The sequence below is a fragment of the Homo sapiens genome, chromosome 19, assembly GCF_000001405.40.
Source record: "Homo sapiens chromosome 19, GRCh38.p14 Primary Assembly".
Taxonomy (NCBI): domain Eukaryota; kingdom Metazoa; phylum Chordata; class Mammalia; order Primates; family Hominidae; genus Homo; species Homo sapiens.
The window spans coordinates 35,704,535-35,717,997 of record NC_000019.10 but is presented as its reverse complement, the minus strand read 5'-3'; the positions used below and the strand labels follow the sequence as shown (position 1 = coordinate 35,717,997).

General features: G+C 54.0%; 1 protein-coding gene across 4 annotated transcripts, besides 6 other annotated features; it reads right to left on the bottom strand.

Moving 5' to 3' along the window:
• Positions 1–480: a silencer, noted in NCBI's record as "silent region_10533". NCBI's record gives its function as "represses an Ori minimal core promoter by ATAC-STARR-seq in GM12878 lymphoblastoid cells {active_cell/tissue: GM12878}" and the evidence as "EXISTENCE:reporter gene assay evidence [ECO:0000049][PMID:35858748]".
• Positions 883–1,442: an enhancer, noted in NCBI's record as "NANOG-H3K27ac hESC enhancer chr19:36207458-36208017 (GRCh37/hg19 assembly coordinates)". NCBI's record gives its function as "activates a minimal SCP1, AML or CMV promoter by ChIP-STARR-seq in primed H9 embryonic stem cells {active_cell/tissue: H9 hESC(primed)}" and the evidence as "EXISTENCE:reporter gene assay evidence [ECO:0000049][PMID:30033119]".
• Positions 960–13,440, bottom strand: ZBTB32 (zinc finger and BTB domain containing 32). Of its 4 annotated transcripts, none has more exons than NM_014383.3 (7): positions 13,375–13,440; positions 4,965–5,081; positions 2,491–3,475; positions 2,168–2,241; positions 1,991–2,059; positions 1,701–1,865; positions 960–1,520 (listed from the first exon to the last, which is right to left on the bottom strand). In NM_014383.3, exons 3-7 carry the CDS (start codon positions 3,369–3,371, stop codon positions 1,246–1,248), a joined length of 1,464 nt encoding a protein of 487 aa, NP_055198.1. In that variant the 5' UTR covers positions 3,372–3,475; positions 4,965–5,081; positions 13,375–13,440; the 3' UTR covers positions 960–1,245. The 4 variants fall into 4 exon arrangements, with proteins under 4 accessions (NP_055198.1, NP_001303831.1, XP_016882080.1 ...); NM_001316902.2 differs by having other exon boundaries at positions 2,491–2,535; XM_017026591.2 differs by having other exon boundaries at positions 1,991–2,241; positions 2,491–2,535.
• Positions 1,051–1,330: an enhancer, noted in NCBI's record as "active region_14495". NCBI's record gives its function as "activates an Ori minimal core promoter by ATAC-STARR-seq in GM12878 lymphoblastoid cells {active_cell/tissue: GM12878}" and the evidence as "EXISTENCE:reporter gene assay evidence [ECO:0000049][PMID:35858748]".
• Positions 3,181–3,380: a silencer, noted in NCBI's record as "silent region_10532". NCBI's record gives its function as "represses an Ori minimal core promoter by ATAC-STARR-seq in GM12878 lymphoblastoid cells {active_cell/tissue: GM12878}" and the evidence as "EXISTENCE:reporter gene assay evidence [ECO:0000049][PMID:35858748]".
• Positions 4,491–4,570: an enhancer, noted in NCBI's record as "active region_14494". NCBI's record gives its function as "activates an Ori minimal core promoter by ATAC-STARR-seq in GM12878 lymphoblastoid cells {active_cell/tissue: GM12878}" and the evidence as "EXISTENCE:reporter gene assay evidence [ECO:0000049][PMID:35858748]".
• Positions 6,389–6,858: an enhancer, noted in NCBI's record as "active region_14493". NCBI's record gives its function as "activates an Ori minimal core promoter by ATAC-STARR-seq in GM12878 lymphoblastoid cells {active_cell/tissue: GM12878}" and the evidence as "EXISTENCE:reporter gene assay evidence [ECO:0000049][PMID:35858748]".
• Positions 13,441–13,463: the final 23 nt, after the last annotated feature.

Genomic DNA, 13,463 nt, shown 5'->3' with positions numbered 1-13,463 from the left:
GGGGAGGCGGGGGGAGGGGCGGCCCGTGCGCAGGGCCGGGGGGAGGGGAGAGAGCGGGGGCGGGGCGGGGCGGCCGCGGCGCACGACAACAACCAGCGCCGCCGCGGGAGACCGGGGGCCGGGCCGGCCACGCGCAGGGCACCACGGGAGAGGGAGTCCGCGGCCGGCCGGCGCCCTCGGACCGCACCTGGGGAGCACAGACCCCCGCGTCGCGGCCGCAGAGGGGCGAACCGCGGGGGCCTCCGGGAAATGTAGTCCGGACGCCTCGCTTCTTCCGCCGGCAGCCAGGGCGCGAGGGCCGGGACGGCGGGGTTCCCGGCCAGGACCCGGAAAGCGGGTTGCCGGGTCTCCGGGAGGTGTGGTCCTAGCCCCAGGCTCCTCCCATTGTTCTTGGCTAGGCCGGCGGCCCGCGTGGACTACCACTCCCAGGGTGCCGCGGGCTCGGGCCCCGGGACCCCCGAGGCCCTGGGAAATGCAGTTCGCGGCTGCAGGAGGCGTGGGCTGGAGAAGGAGCGGTGGAAAGCATAGTCAGTCTCCGTTCCAGGCGCGACCTGGCGGCGGCTTGGCACGGTGTGGAGGGAAGACGCCGGAGAGGCCGCGGTCTCGGGGTCCGTGTGCTCCCGGAGAGGAGGCGGGTGGCCGAAAGCAGGGTCGGAGCACGCGTTCCTCTCTCTCCCGGGCCGAGCGTTCCCAGATCAGACTCCGCGCGCCGTGGATTGCAGTGGAAGGGGCGAGTGACTTGCGGTCGCACAGCCCCCACCAGTCCAGGACCGGCATGCCGCAAGGTGTGCCCGGACACCGAGTCCTCGGGGCCGGCTGCCTCCTGGGGAGGACGGGGCGCCTCGGGGGTGGAAGAAGTGTCCATCCCGCTGGACAGCGGACGCAGGGCCACCAGGGGCCGCTACAGGACAAGGGGCGTGGGCGGGGGTGTGCACAGACTAAACTCGGCTTTCTAGTCCTGAAGGGAGGGCACAGGAAACTCTTTATTATGGTGATGAGATCGACAATCTCCCCTACTGTTAACCTTCGCTCCTGCACACTTCAGTGTCCTCACTCTGTAGGGCTCGCTGGCCTGGGCTTCTGCGACCCGCGATCGTCCAGGAGAGGGCACTCGGCGCCCTTCCTGGGGCGCTTCTGGGGCGGAATTTGCTAGGCCGCCGTAGCAGCGGTGCCAGGTCAGAAGCCGAGCCGGCCCGCTTTTCGTTCTTTAATTGGACTCTTGGCTAAGACGCTACCGACACCCCGTCAGGTGGTGGAGGAAGAAGGACAACAGGGAGAGGTCGAGGGCCGAGACGGCCTCGAGGAGGAGTAGAGGAAGGTGGAGCGGATGGTCCATCCGGGCGGGAGTTGGCTGGGCGAGTGACCGCGCATGTGCGCCTGCATGGAGGCCAGGCTGGGACAGCCGGCCCCGCACAGGGAGCAGCGGTACGGAGCGGCCCCGTGTGTCCGCAGGTGCTTGGTCATGGCCGAGAAGTCCCGGGAGCGCTGAGGACAAAGGCTACAGGAGAAGGGCTTCTCTCCTAGAGCGGTCGGAAGGGGAGGCCGGTGAAGGAAGGAAGAAGGCGGCGAAAGCTGGCCAAGTTAGGGGTGGATCGGGCCACGGGGCTAGGGGATTGCGCGGGAACCGGGCACACAGGTGGAGACTCAGGAGCGGAGTTGGGAAGAAAGCCGACAGTTCACACAGGGCAGGGCGCCCATACCTGTGTGGACTCGGTAGTGCGTCTCCATCTGATGCTTGAGTGAAAACCTCTTTCCACAGACAGAGCACGCATAGGGCCGAGACCGAGCAGGAGGGGCCGGGGGAGGGTGCGGGCGAGGTGGGCAGCCTGCCTTGTCCTCATGACCCGCACAGGTTGCAAGTGCGCCTGTGGGGACAGAGAAGGCAAAGGAGGGCAGGGCCAGGAATCCCAGCGCCAACTCACTGTACCATTCAGGCAGGAAATCAAGGGCTACAGTGGGGCTGAGGCACGAGTGCCCCCGCCCGACTCACCTGTGTGCCCCTGATCAGACTCTTCCATCTCCCCAGGGCTGAGCTGTGCGGGGCCCTGGGGGAGGGAACCTGGAAGGAACAGTGGGAGGTAGGGGCCCTGCTCAGGCTGGACTCCTCGAGCCCCAGCCCAGAGAAGACACCATGTTACAGGTGTATGCAGGACAGCGAGGGGCTTACCTGGGGTAGGGCTGGAGGAGGCCAACTGGTTCTGGCTCCAGAGCCCTTTGGGGGCATTTAGGGACAGTGGGATCCTGGGATGGGGTGGGGAAGAGTTACAGCCTTGGCTAAACCTGGGAGCCTGGCCCCTTCGTGAAGAGGGGGTATCCCAAGTCCTCCCCCGGGGGCTGGGCTTTGGCGTGCCCTGTGGCAGCAGCTTCTTGTCTCTTCCCCAGCTCAGGAACTGTGCAGTAGAGATGCAGTGCCCTTCCACCCAGCAGGGCTGCCCCTCCTGGGCCATGCCCTCCCAGCCTGGAGGCAGAGCACTAGACCCCGCCACTCACCTCTGTTCCCGCCAGACCTCCTGCCAGGCTCCAGTGGTGGGGGTGCTATGGTAGAAGGGAATGCCATATCTGGGCGGCATCAGCAGGATGCTCCACAGGGCAGGCTGGCCCCCCACCAACCAAGGGGCCTCAGCCCACGAGGGCCTAGGGGTGACGCTGGTTTGCAGGGAGCCTGCTGGGGGAAGGGGGCCAGGGAGCTTGCGCAGACTTTCCTCAGAGCCCCCTGGATTTTCCCTCAACCACGTGAGCACTCCATGCTTCCCATCTGCTCCCCTTTGGCCAACAGGGGCTTGGAGGCGTTTCTCCTTTGACCTGGTCTGTTCCTGCTGAGCCTCCTGCGTTGCTCCTGCCATCTCGGGTCTGCCTCTTGGTGGCGAGTGCTTGTGCAACATCTCCTGTTCTCTCCCACCAGTTCTAGAAACCTGTTCTGGTTTCTGCTTCTCTCCAGGGTCCCCCAGTTCTCTCTCAGGATTCCTTGAGGGTTTCTCTGGCTCCTCCTGATGTTTCTTCAGGCCTGGATCTGGCTTTTTAGCCCTGTCCCCTCGAGCCCTCCAGCATGCCTCTTCCAGGGACTGCACTCCCAAGGCCCTGGCCGCCTCCTGAAGGGGCCTTAGCTCTCCAGGCTGCAGCTCTACACTCTCCCCATACACAAAGTTCAGGAGCTGGGCAAAGGTAGAAGGGCTGATGCCTTCTCCCAGAGCCCACTGGCCCCTGCGGCCCAGCTGCTGGCTGACACCTGCTAGCACCAGGCTGTGGGCGGGGAACTCCTGGCTCCCTACGGTGATCAGAGTATCACAGAGTGCTGGCCGGAGCCTGGCTGCTAGCTGTACCAGCCGATCAGAGCCATAGGGGCTGGGCAGTCTTATGGGGGGCAGGGACATTGTGCCTTGGCTTGGGTACCTAACTCAGAGGCTCTAAGAGGAAGTCCACAGTGTGAGGTCCATGGTTGAAAGGGGAGGGAGGAACATCTCATCTCATTTCAAGCCTGTGGATGTGAGGGGAGAGGGTGTGAGTTGCTGGTCCTAGATCAGAGCCCTCTGTCCTGAGTGAGCAAATAAAGTAACCCAAGAGAGGATTGGAGCTTATCCAGAATCATAGCAGGTAGGCATGGTGGCGAGAGAATGGAAATCAGACCAAATTCAGGACTTAAAGAGCAAGGGCCAGTCAGTTAACAGAAATATCTAGTAGTGGGTTTAAGACAGGCGTGCGGGAAGTCTGCCAGTTGGCAGTCTCTGACGTAAAAGATAGCAGATACTGCCACTTCTGCTTCTCCAAGCCCCTCTGCAGGGAAACACCTCTGCGCAAGCCAGGCTTTCTTCATTCCAGACAAGGATCACCACAAAACCCAGTCAACGCCGGCACTAAGGGATGGAGCATGACACAGTTTCACGGGAGAGCTTAGAAAGCTAGTGGGTCCTCCCCCAAAAGCCCATCGCTCCTGAAAGGCAGAGAGGGCAGCATGATAGGGATCCTGGCTGCAGGAGCGCAGGCGCTAAGGCATCCGGCAGTCATCACTGTGAAGCTGAAGCTTCTAGAACACATCCTCAGGGAAGGAACCAGACATTCCCATCCAGAGAAAGAGGAGAGCAGGTGCAGAAGCCACAGGAGAGGAGGCTCCTGACCCAATGATGGAGAGACCTTTTGGAGAATGGACTCCTGAGGAGATGGGAGGAAAGGACGTGGGGACTGGAGACAGGGAGGCTGTTTCCTCTCAAGATTTGGGTAAGGAGATGGTTTAATTTGTTTTTCATAAGACAAAAAGTGAAGAATAGAAAGACAGCACCCAACCAGGCAGGAGTTTCTCACACATCAAAACCACCACATTGGCTTTTAAGAAGAGAGCTGGGAACCCAGATACGAAGAGAACCAGAACCTCAGTGTCTTAGCACCCAGCAGGCAGAGTCCTAGGTGCAGGTTCCCTGTGAGCAAGGGCCCTTGGGGCAGGGAGGGCTGCACTTGGACACCTCAGGGAGAGGGCTCTAGGTTGGCAGGGAGGAGACAGAAAGAGTTGTGATGGGAAGAAGGCCTCAGCTGGAGAGAGGCTATCACTCACCGCTTGTAGCTTCTTCCAGGACACCGCATGCTCTGAACTACTGTTGGGGCTCCTGGGGCCCCCCCTGGAGCTAGCCCCGCCCCTGACCTCACAGGCCTCCATTGGATGTCCCAAGTATCAGTCTGCCACAGTCCCCCCGAAGGGGTGTGGTTTTCTAACCCTGCCTCTGCCTTCTGCCTGCAGGAGAGACCACCCCCTCTACCTCCAGAATGCACACATTCTGCCCCTAGCCTCCTGTCTCCTCACTTCGTTTGTGAACTCCTAGAGTCAAAGAAGTGTATCTGTGGCAGCAAGGACCTTGGAATAATCAGCCCTGCCTTTGAGTTTCATCTCTGCCATTTACTATTTGAGTCACCTTGGGCAAGTCACTTCTCTGGGCCTCAGTAACCTCATTCATGAAATAGGCATAATATCTGCTTACCTCATTTGGAGGTGGGGGTGAAGATGAAATGACGTGACGAATATGAGTGTGGTTTGTAAGTACACAGTAGCATTCAGTGGTATGGTTGTTTCTTAGAGATGACGGCAGAGCACACAGCTGCAGAAGTAAAAAGGATTGAAACATTTGGATCCCAAGAATAGGGTGGAGGAGCCAGAAGCTGGCCTCCTCCCTCTCCCTGACTTGGTACTGGGAAGCCTCATTTGCTGCCTGGGAATGACCTGGGGGTGGGTGTGTGAGTGACTCAGATCCTCCCATCAAGCTCTGAAAGGGGCAACCCCAGGAAGGACGTGTGGTGGTCTTCGAAGAGAAAAATCTCCTTTTCTTGGGCTGATGACAAATGACATTTCTCTGAAATCAGGACTTGGGTTTCTTTCACTTCCTGCCCAAGGGGTCAAGGTCCCCGGAGGTTTCCCCTCTTTTCACACTTCAGAACTCTTTAATCTGGGGAAGGGATGGGGTCTTAGAGGCTCAACTTTCTTTTTCTGTTTCTTATTATTCTCTTATCCCTGATCCTATAGCAAAATTTTCATTTATCCAACAAATTTTGATGACATGTTTATTTTGAGACGGGGTCTTGCTCTGTTGCCCAGTGGTACGATCACGGCTCACTGCAGCCTTAGCTTCCTGGGCTCACATGATCCTCCCACCTCAGCCTGTTGAGTAGCTGGGACTACAGGTTTGAGCCACCATGCCTAGCTAATTTTGAATTTTTGGTAGAGACAGGGGTCTCACTATGTTACCCAGGCTGGTCTTGAACTCTTGGGCTCAAATGATCCGCCTGCCTTGGCCTCCCGAAGTGCTGGGATTATAGGCGTGAGCCACTGCGCCCAGCGGATAAAGCATTTATGATATGTGCCTGGCGTATATTAGATACACAGTAAATGACTGGAAGATAAACAAGTCAGGTACTGGTAAGCTGCTCTGGTGACAAGGCACAGTCGGCTTCCCCATAGGCTTCTCTTTTTTTTTTTTTTTTTTTTTTTTTTTTGAGACGCAGTCTCGCTCTGTCTCCCAGACTGGAGTGCAGTGGCGCAATCTCAGCTCACTGCGACCTCTGCCTCCCAGGTTCAAGCGATTCTCCTGCCTCAGCCTCCCGAGTAGCTGGGATTACAGGCGCCCGCCACCACGCCCGGCTAATTTTTGTACTTTTAGTAGTGACAGGGTTTCGCCATGTTGGCCAGGCTGGTCTCGAATTCCTGATGTCAAGTGAGCCACCCACCTCGGCCTCCCAAAGTGCTGGGATTGCGCCCGGCCTCCCATAGGCTTCTCTTAAGGGGGAAGGATCTAAGAGTCCTTGTCCCCTCCTAGATGCAAATACTGTCCCTAAGCTCCCGTTTCTTCCTTTGGCTCCAGGACCCTCGAATGTTCAGACCAGCCTCCCACTCTCTCTTTCCAGGCCTACCACGCCTTCCCTCCACATGGGTGCAGGCACATGTTAACCCTTCCTAGATCAGACAGGGTGTGTCAATGGGTGAGGCTGGTGGAGGGGCAACAGGGTGGGGAGAGGGGAAGATGAGTCAGAACGAAAGGGAAAATGCAAATGTGAGAGCTGTGTTCATCTGCTACTCTGAACGTTAACTATTTTCCATTTCTGAGCTTTCCAATTCCTCACACCACCACACCCATATAAAAGACACATAAAGCATCAGTCCCTCTGATATGTATGTACGCAGAGGGAAACACCCTTCCTCCAACACAGAAATACAGAGTCCCTCAAGACAAGGAAGGAGTGCGGAAAGCCCTGAGGGACTAGCCCCAGGGATGAGGAAAGGTACAGGGGTCTGGACGATTACATGGTCACCCCTCTGAGTGTGGCCCCCTCGCTTTCCAGCCCCACATCATGTGCTTGTGACTCAGCTCCCCCGCTGGTTTGCTCATTGATGATCGAGAGAGTTGGAGACTGCTCAAAGGGCAGCATTCTGTGTAAGCCAAATATAGTTGACAGGGAGCATCAGTGGGCTTTCGGGGAACCTAAAAGGGAGGAGGGGCAAGGGAACTCCCCTTTCAGTGAACAAAAGCCCCCAAGAATGGGGAACCCCACCTAAGGATATCCCCTTAGAGACCGCCTCCTAGAATTATCTCCAGGGCCCTTTGCACTGCAACCCTTATGCTGATGACACCCTGAGCACTTCTCTAGCCTCTTCCTGCATTCTTGACAGTGCAACCCAAGCCATCCTGCACTGAGCACAGATGGCAGAAGCAGACAGCACTTTGACTTGGAAGAGTAGGGACACTGCTGGTGCTGTTTTGTTTTTATTTTGAGACAGAGTCTTGTTCTGTCACCCAAGCTGGAGTGCAGTGGCGCCATCTCGGCTCACTGCAACCTCTGCCTCTGGGTTCAAGCGACTCTTGTGCCTCAGCCTTCCAAGTATCTGGGGTTACGGGCATGCACCATCACACCCGGCTAATTTTTTTGTATTTTTAGTAGAGATGGGGTTTCACCATGTTAGCCAGGCTGGTCTCGAACTCCTAACCTCAGGTGATCCACTGCTGGGATTACAGGTGTGAGCCACCATGCCTGGTCTGTTGCTGTTCTTAAAAGTACTCCCCCTCCCTAGACTCAAAAACCTTGCCCCCCCTTCCTCTTCCTGGGCTGACTCGGTAGGAATCATCTGCAGTTGTCTCTCTGGAAAGAGCAAAGAAACAACAGGTTATGCAGACACAAGCCTGTGTCCTGCCAGAGGGTAGAGCAGGTAGAGAGATTAGGTAGGGCATGATTGGAAGGGGAGTATGTGATAAAAGGCAATATGATATCAGCCTCTCAGTCCTTTTTAATACTTATATTACTTTCTTTTTTTTTTTGAGACAGAGTTTCACTCTTGTTGCCCAGGCTGGAGTACAATGGCGCTATCTTGGCTCACTGCAACCTCCGCCTCCCGGTTCAAGCAATTCTCCTGCCTCAGCCTCCCAAGTAGCTGGGATTACAGGCAACTGCTACCATGCCTGACTAATTTTTTGTATTTTTATTAGAGATGGTGTTTCACCATGTTGGCCAGGCTGGTCTCAAATTCTTGATGTCAGGTGATCCACCCACCTCGGCTTCACAAAGTGCTGGGATTACAGGCGTGAGCCTACATGCCCGGCCTAATACTCGTATTACTGAATAAAATTTGAAATCTGATTTTTTTTTTTTTGAGACAGAGTCTTGCTCTATTGCCCAGGCTGGAGTGCAGTGGCGCAATCTCGGCTCACTGTAACCTCCGCCTCCTGGGTTCAAGTGATTCTCCTGCCTCAGCCTCCCGAGTAGCTGGGATCACAGGTGTGCATCACCAAACCCGGCTAATTTTTTGTATTTTTAGTAGAGACAGGGTTTCACCATGTTGGCCAGGCTGGTCTCGAACTCCTGACCTCATGATCTGCCCGCCTTGGCATCCCAAAATGCTGTGATACAGGCATGAGGCACCACGCCTGGCCTGAAATCTGATAGTTCTTATTCTTACTGGTAGACTTGACCAATGGGACACTAAGGGAAAAATGTGCAAGGGGCTCGGGGCACACCCTGGCTGCAAAGTCAAAGCTTCCCAGAAATCCTTGTATCATGAACTTCTTGAGGCACAACCCAGCTTGATGTAACAATGTCAACACAGCAACACAAATACCAATTCTCCTTAAATATTATAATTAAAATCAAACCATCAGAATAGACCAATGGGAGGGATGATCATTTGTTTTGTGAAAAAGTTCTCCCTCTATTTCACTTATTTTAAATATCAAGCCCTCTTCCCAAGCCAAGTTGAACAAGATTCAATTTAGAAAAATTCTGTGAACTCGCCACTCTTCCCGTGAACCCATCTCTTTCCACAAATGAAGGTGGTTAAATTCCCCACAGCATTTTATATAGATTAAGAGCGATTATCCAAATCTTACATGAACTTTAAGTATGTTTACTCTTTCGCCAGGCGCAGTGGCTCACACCTGTAATCCCAGCACTCTGGGAGGTGGAGGCAAGCGGATCATCTGAGGTCGGGAGTTCAAGACCAGCCTGACCAACATGGAGAAACCCTGTCTCTACAAAAAATAAAAAAAATTAGCTGGGCGTGGCGGCACATGCCTGTAATTCCAGCTACTCGAGAGGCTGAGGCAGGAGAATCGCTTCAACCCGGGAGGTGGAGGTTGCGGTGAGCCGAGATCGCGCCATTGCACTCTAGCCTGAGCAACAAGAGCGAAACTCTGTCTCAAAAAAAAAAAAAGAAAAAAGAAAAAAGAAAAAAAAGATGTTCCGTCTTTCTGGTTAAGTACATCCAAGACTTCCAGAAAAGAGTCACCACAAGGAGTGAATTAGTTCCCTTTTTCCCTTAAATTTGTGCTCTATATGATCCAAGAACCAGCTATAGTCATACCCAGGTGAGCTGAATCTAGCCCCTTCATAGCACACACTTTGTGGATTAACTGGAAAAAGAACTAGACTAGAAGTTGGAAAACAGGTTTCACTGCATCCCTTCACAGTGAATGGCCCTTCTCTTCAGCACTCATATGGAGCTAAGTCTTCCAAGACCCTCAATTTCCTCACAGGGGCTGTTTCAAGACCAGTACAGAATACTAGTGTTGACTTAAACCTGGGCAAAGGGTCCCATTTGGACCTCCTCTGGCTGTATCCCTTCGCATAGGCTGAGTCAAAAGGCATCTAGAAAGTGCCTACCCGGAACTGTGAGCTCCCACCTCACTTCTGGACCATGCTCTGAGAACTCAGCACCCTGGATTTCCTGGACCAAATGACTCTGAGGCCCCCTACACAGGACTCAACCCCAGGCCTGTATTCATGAGAGTGGACTCTGACTGATGTACACACACGCTAGACCCTGATTTTGTGTAAGGGATTTGTAGACTGAGCTTGGATGTGCAGGCTAGAATGTGAGACACCTTGAAGTATGGGCCAACACCAGGCATGGGAAGAGACGAGGGAGTCTCTGTCATCTTGCCCAGGCCCCATAAATAATATAGGAACCTACTTTATTCCAATGGTTCTAAATCTCTTAGGGAGTCACCATCAGGTTCAGAATGTCACCCATGGGACTAACTCTTCTTTTTATTGAGACAGAGTCTCCTTCTGTCACCCAGACTGGAGTGCAGTGGCACGATCTTGGCTCAGTGCAACCTCTGCCTCCCAGGTTCAAGAGATTCTCCTGCCTCAGCCTCCTGAGTAGCTGGGACTACAGGCACGCACCACGACACCCGGCTAATTTTTGTATTTTTAGTAGAGATGAGGTTTTACCATGTTGGCCAGGCTGGTCTCAAACTTCTGACCTCAAGTGATCCACCCGCCTCAGCCTCCCAGAGTGCAGGGATTACAAGTGTGAGCCACCCAGCCTGGGACCAATTGTTGACATTAGAAAATGGTAGACACAGGCCGGGTGCGGTGGCTCACGCCTGTAATCCCAGCACTTTGGGAGGCCGAGGTGGGCGGATCACAAGGTGAAGAGATAGAGACCGTCCTGGCCAACATGGTGAAATGCCGTCTCTACTAAAAATACAAAAATTAGCTGGGCGTGGTGGCACGTGCCTGTAATCCCAGCTACTTGGGAGGCTGAGGCAGGAGAATTGCTTAAACCCGGGAGGCGGAGGTTGCAGTGAGCCAAGATCACACCACTGCACTCCAGCCTGGTAACAGAGCTAAGACTCCATCTCGAAAAAAAAAAAAAAAAAGAAAATGGTAGACACTTATACCACTTGGCATATGAATGCATGACAAGAGATTGACAGATTACTCTGAGCCTCATGGCTGGAGAGGTTAACTATCGTCTAGCTTATTCTTTACCCTCCCCTCCTCATAATATACATGCATACCATTAATTGTTCTTTTTTTTTTTTTTTTTTTTTAGAGACACAGTCTTGCTCTGTCACCCAGCCTGGAGTGCAGTGGCACAATCATGGCTCACTGCAGTCTTGACATCCTGGGCTCAAGTCATCCCCCTATCTCAGCCTCCTGAGTAGCTGGGATTACAGGCATGTGCCATCATGCTTGGTGGCTGTCTGCCGAGCTGGGATTAACTGCACACTTCATGTGCCAGCACCCCGGGCCCCCACCACACCATAGAGGGAATGGCCAATTGAGCTGCCCCAATATTAACTGGTTTCGGGGTTAGACTTCCTTGAAGTCCACTCATAAGCCACTCCTTGCACCCTCACCCCTGGTTAAAGAACTCTGGGTGTACTGAAGGCACTCCGAAAGCATAAATACCACTGAACAGCTGAATGAAACTAGGTATCAACACCCTGCCCCATGAGTATAAAAAAGATCATCAGTAAAGACAACCTGGGTGATTTCCTTTATGTTATTTACTTATTTATTTTTGAGACAGAGTTTTGCCCTTGTTGCCCAGGCTGGAGTGCAGTGGCGCGATCTCGGCTCACTGCAACCTCTGCCTCCTGGGTTCAAGTGATTCTCCTACCTCAGGCTCCTAAGTAGCTGGGATTACAGGCATCTACCATGCCCGGCTAATTTTTTGCATTTTTAGTAGAGATGGGGTTTCACCACGTTGGCCAGGCTGGTCTTGAACTCCTGACCTCAGGTGATCCACCTGCCTCGGCCTCCCAAAGTGCTAGGATTACAGGTGTGAGCCACCACGCCCTGCCAAAAACCTGGGTGATTTCCTAAAGAGGAGAATATCTCACACACCTCTTCCTGTGCTCCACTACGATGTTCATCCTCCCCATGCACCTGCCCCGCACCTACAGCCTGATATCTTCATCTTCTAGGAATTATCAGAACAGGCATGGGAAAGAGTGGGACAGGGAGAATGAAAAGCTCCAGACATGACCCAATTCCAGTTTTTTTTTTTTTTTTGAGATGGAGTTTCGCTCTTGTTGCCCAGGCTGGAGTGCAATGGCACGATCTCGGCTCACCGCAACCTCCGCCTCCCAGGTACAAGCGATTCTCCTGCCTCAGCCTCCCTAGTAGCTGGGATTACAGGCATGTGCCACCACGCCCAGCTAATTTTGTATTTTTAGTAGAGATGGGGTTTCTCCATGTTGGTCATGCTGGTCTCAAACTTCTGACCTCAGGTAATCCGCCCGCCTTGGCCTCTCAAAGTGCTGGGATTATAGATGTGAGCCCCCACGCCTGGCCCTGCTTTTTTTTTTTTTTAATTAATTTTTTTTTTTTGAGACAGAGCATTGCTCTGTTGCCCAGGCTGGAGTGCAGTGGTGCGATCTCTGCTCACTGCAACCTCCGCCTCGTGGGTTCAAGGGATTCTCCTGCCTCAGACTCCTGAGTAGCTGGGATTACAGGCACCTGCCACCACACCTGGCTAATTTTTGTATTTTTAGTAGAGACAGGGTTTCACCATGTTGGTCAGGCTGGTCTCGAGCTCCTGACCTGGTGATCCACCCACCTCAGCCTCCCAAAGTGCTGGGATTACAGGTGTGAGCCACCACGCCTGGCCACCCAATCCCAGTTCTGTACAGAGCCACCACAAGGCAATAATACTTCATCCAGCGCAAACAGCTCGGCTGGGATTCAGAATCCTTCTCCCTAGAATCTCCAGAGGATTACTGGCCTAACCTCTTGGCCACATCATCCAACCTGGACTCCATACTGGGAAATCTGCCAAGAACATCTCAACCTGGAGTCCAGAACATTCACTCCCAGCCCAGGCTGGCTCCAAAGACCCCAGGAAACCTTCATGTGCACACTAGTTTCATCTCTTGGCCAGTGACTTCCTACATAACTTTTTTTTTCTTTTCATTTTTTTTCTTGAGACAGGGTCTCATTCTGTCGCCCAGGCTGGAGTGCAATGGCGTGATCTCAGCTCACTGCAACGTTCATCTCCTGAGTTCAATGAGTTCAAGCGATTCTCCTGCCTCAGCTTTCTGAGTAGCTGGGATTACGGACGTGTGCCACCACGCCCAGGTAATTTTTTTTAGAAACCCCGTAGAGACAGGGTTTCTCCATGTTGGCCAGGCTGGTCTCAAACTCCTGACCTCAAATGATCCACCTGCCTCAGCCTCCCAAAGTGCTGGGATTACAGGCGTGAGCCACCGCGCCCAGCCCCTGCATAACCTTTGGAGATCCACAGGCCTCTCCTTTCAGTCACCGGATCCAGGCTCAGTCCAGAGACCCTTGATAAGCTCTCATTGTCCGGAGGCCATACCTCATGCAGAGTTAAGGACCTCCAACTTCCCCACAACACCCTTCCTACTCAGGCTGGCCTCGGGGGCCGTGGACCAACTCAGAGAGCAAGCTGGCTTAGCCTCTGCCAAACCTAGGCCTAAAGGTGGCCAGGAGGCTGCATTTCCAGCCTCTCAAAGGCAGAGGAAAGCCCCAAGGGCTAAAGCCCTCAACCCGCACTTCCCAATCATCAACGAGGTCCAGTCAAGCCCCCATACCCCAGATTTGCCTGGGCCGGGCCCAAGCCCAAGAAAGTAAAGTAAGAAAAACTATGGCACTCACCGGCCCAGACCCTGTTCCTCCTTCCCTTTCAGCCTCACATACACCCAGGACGGCTTAAGGCCGAGTGACCGTTAAAAGTGGGGAATGGA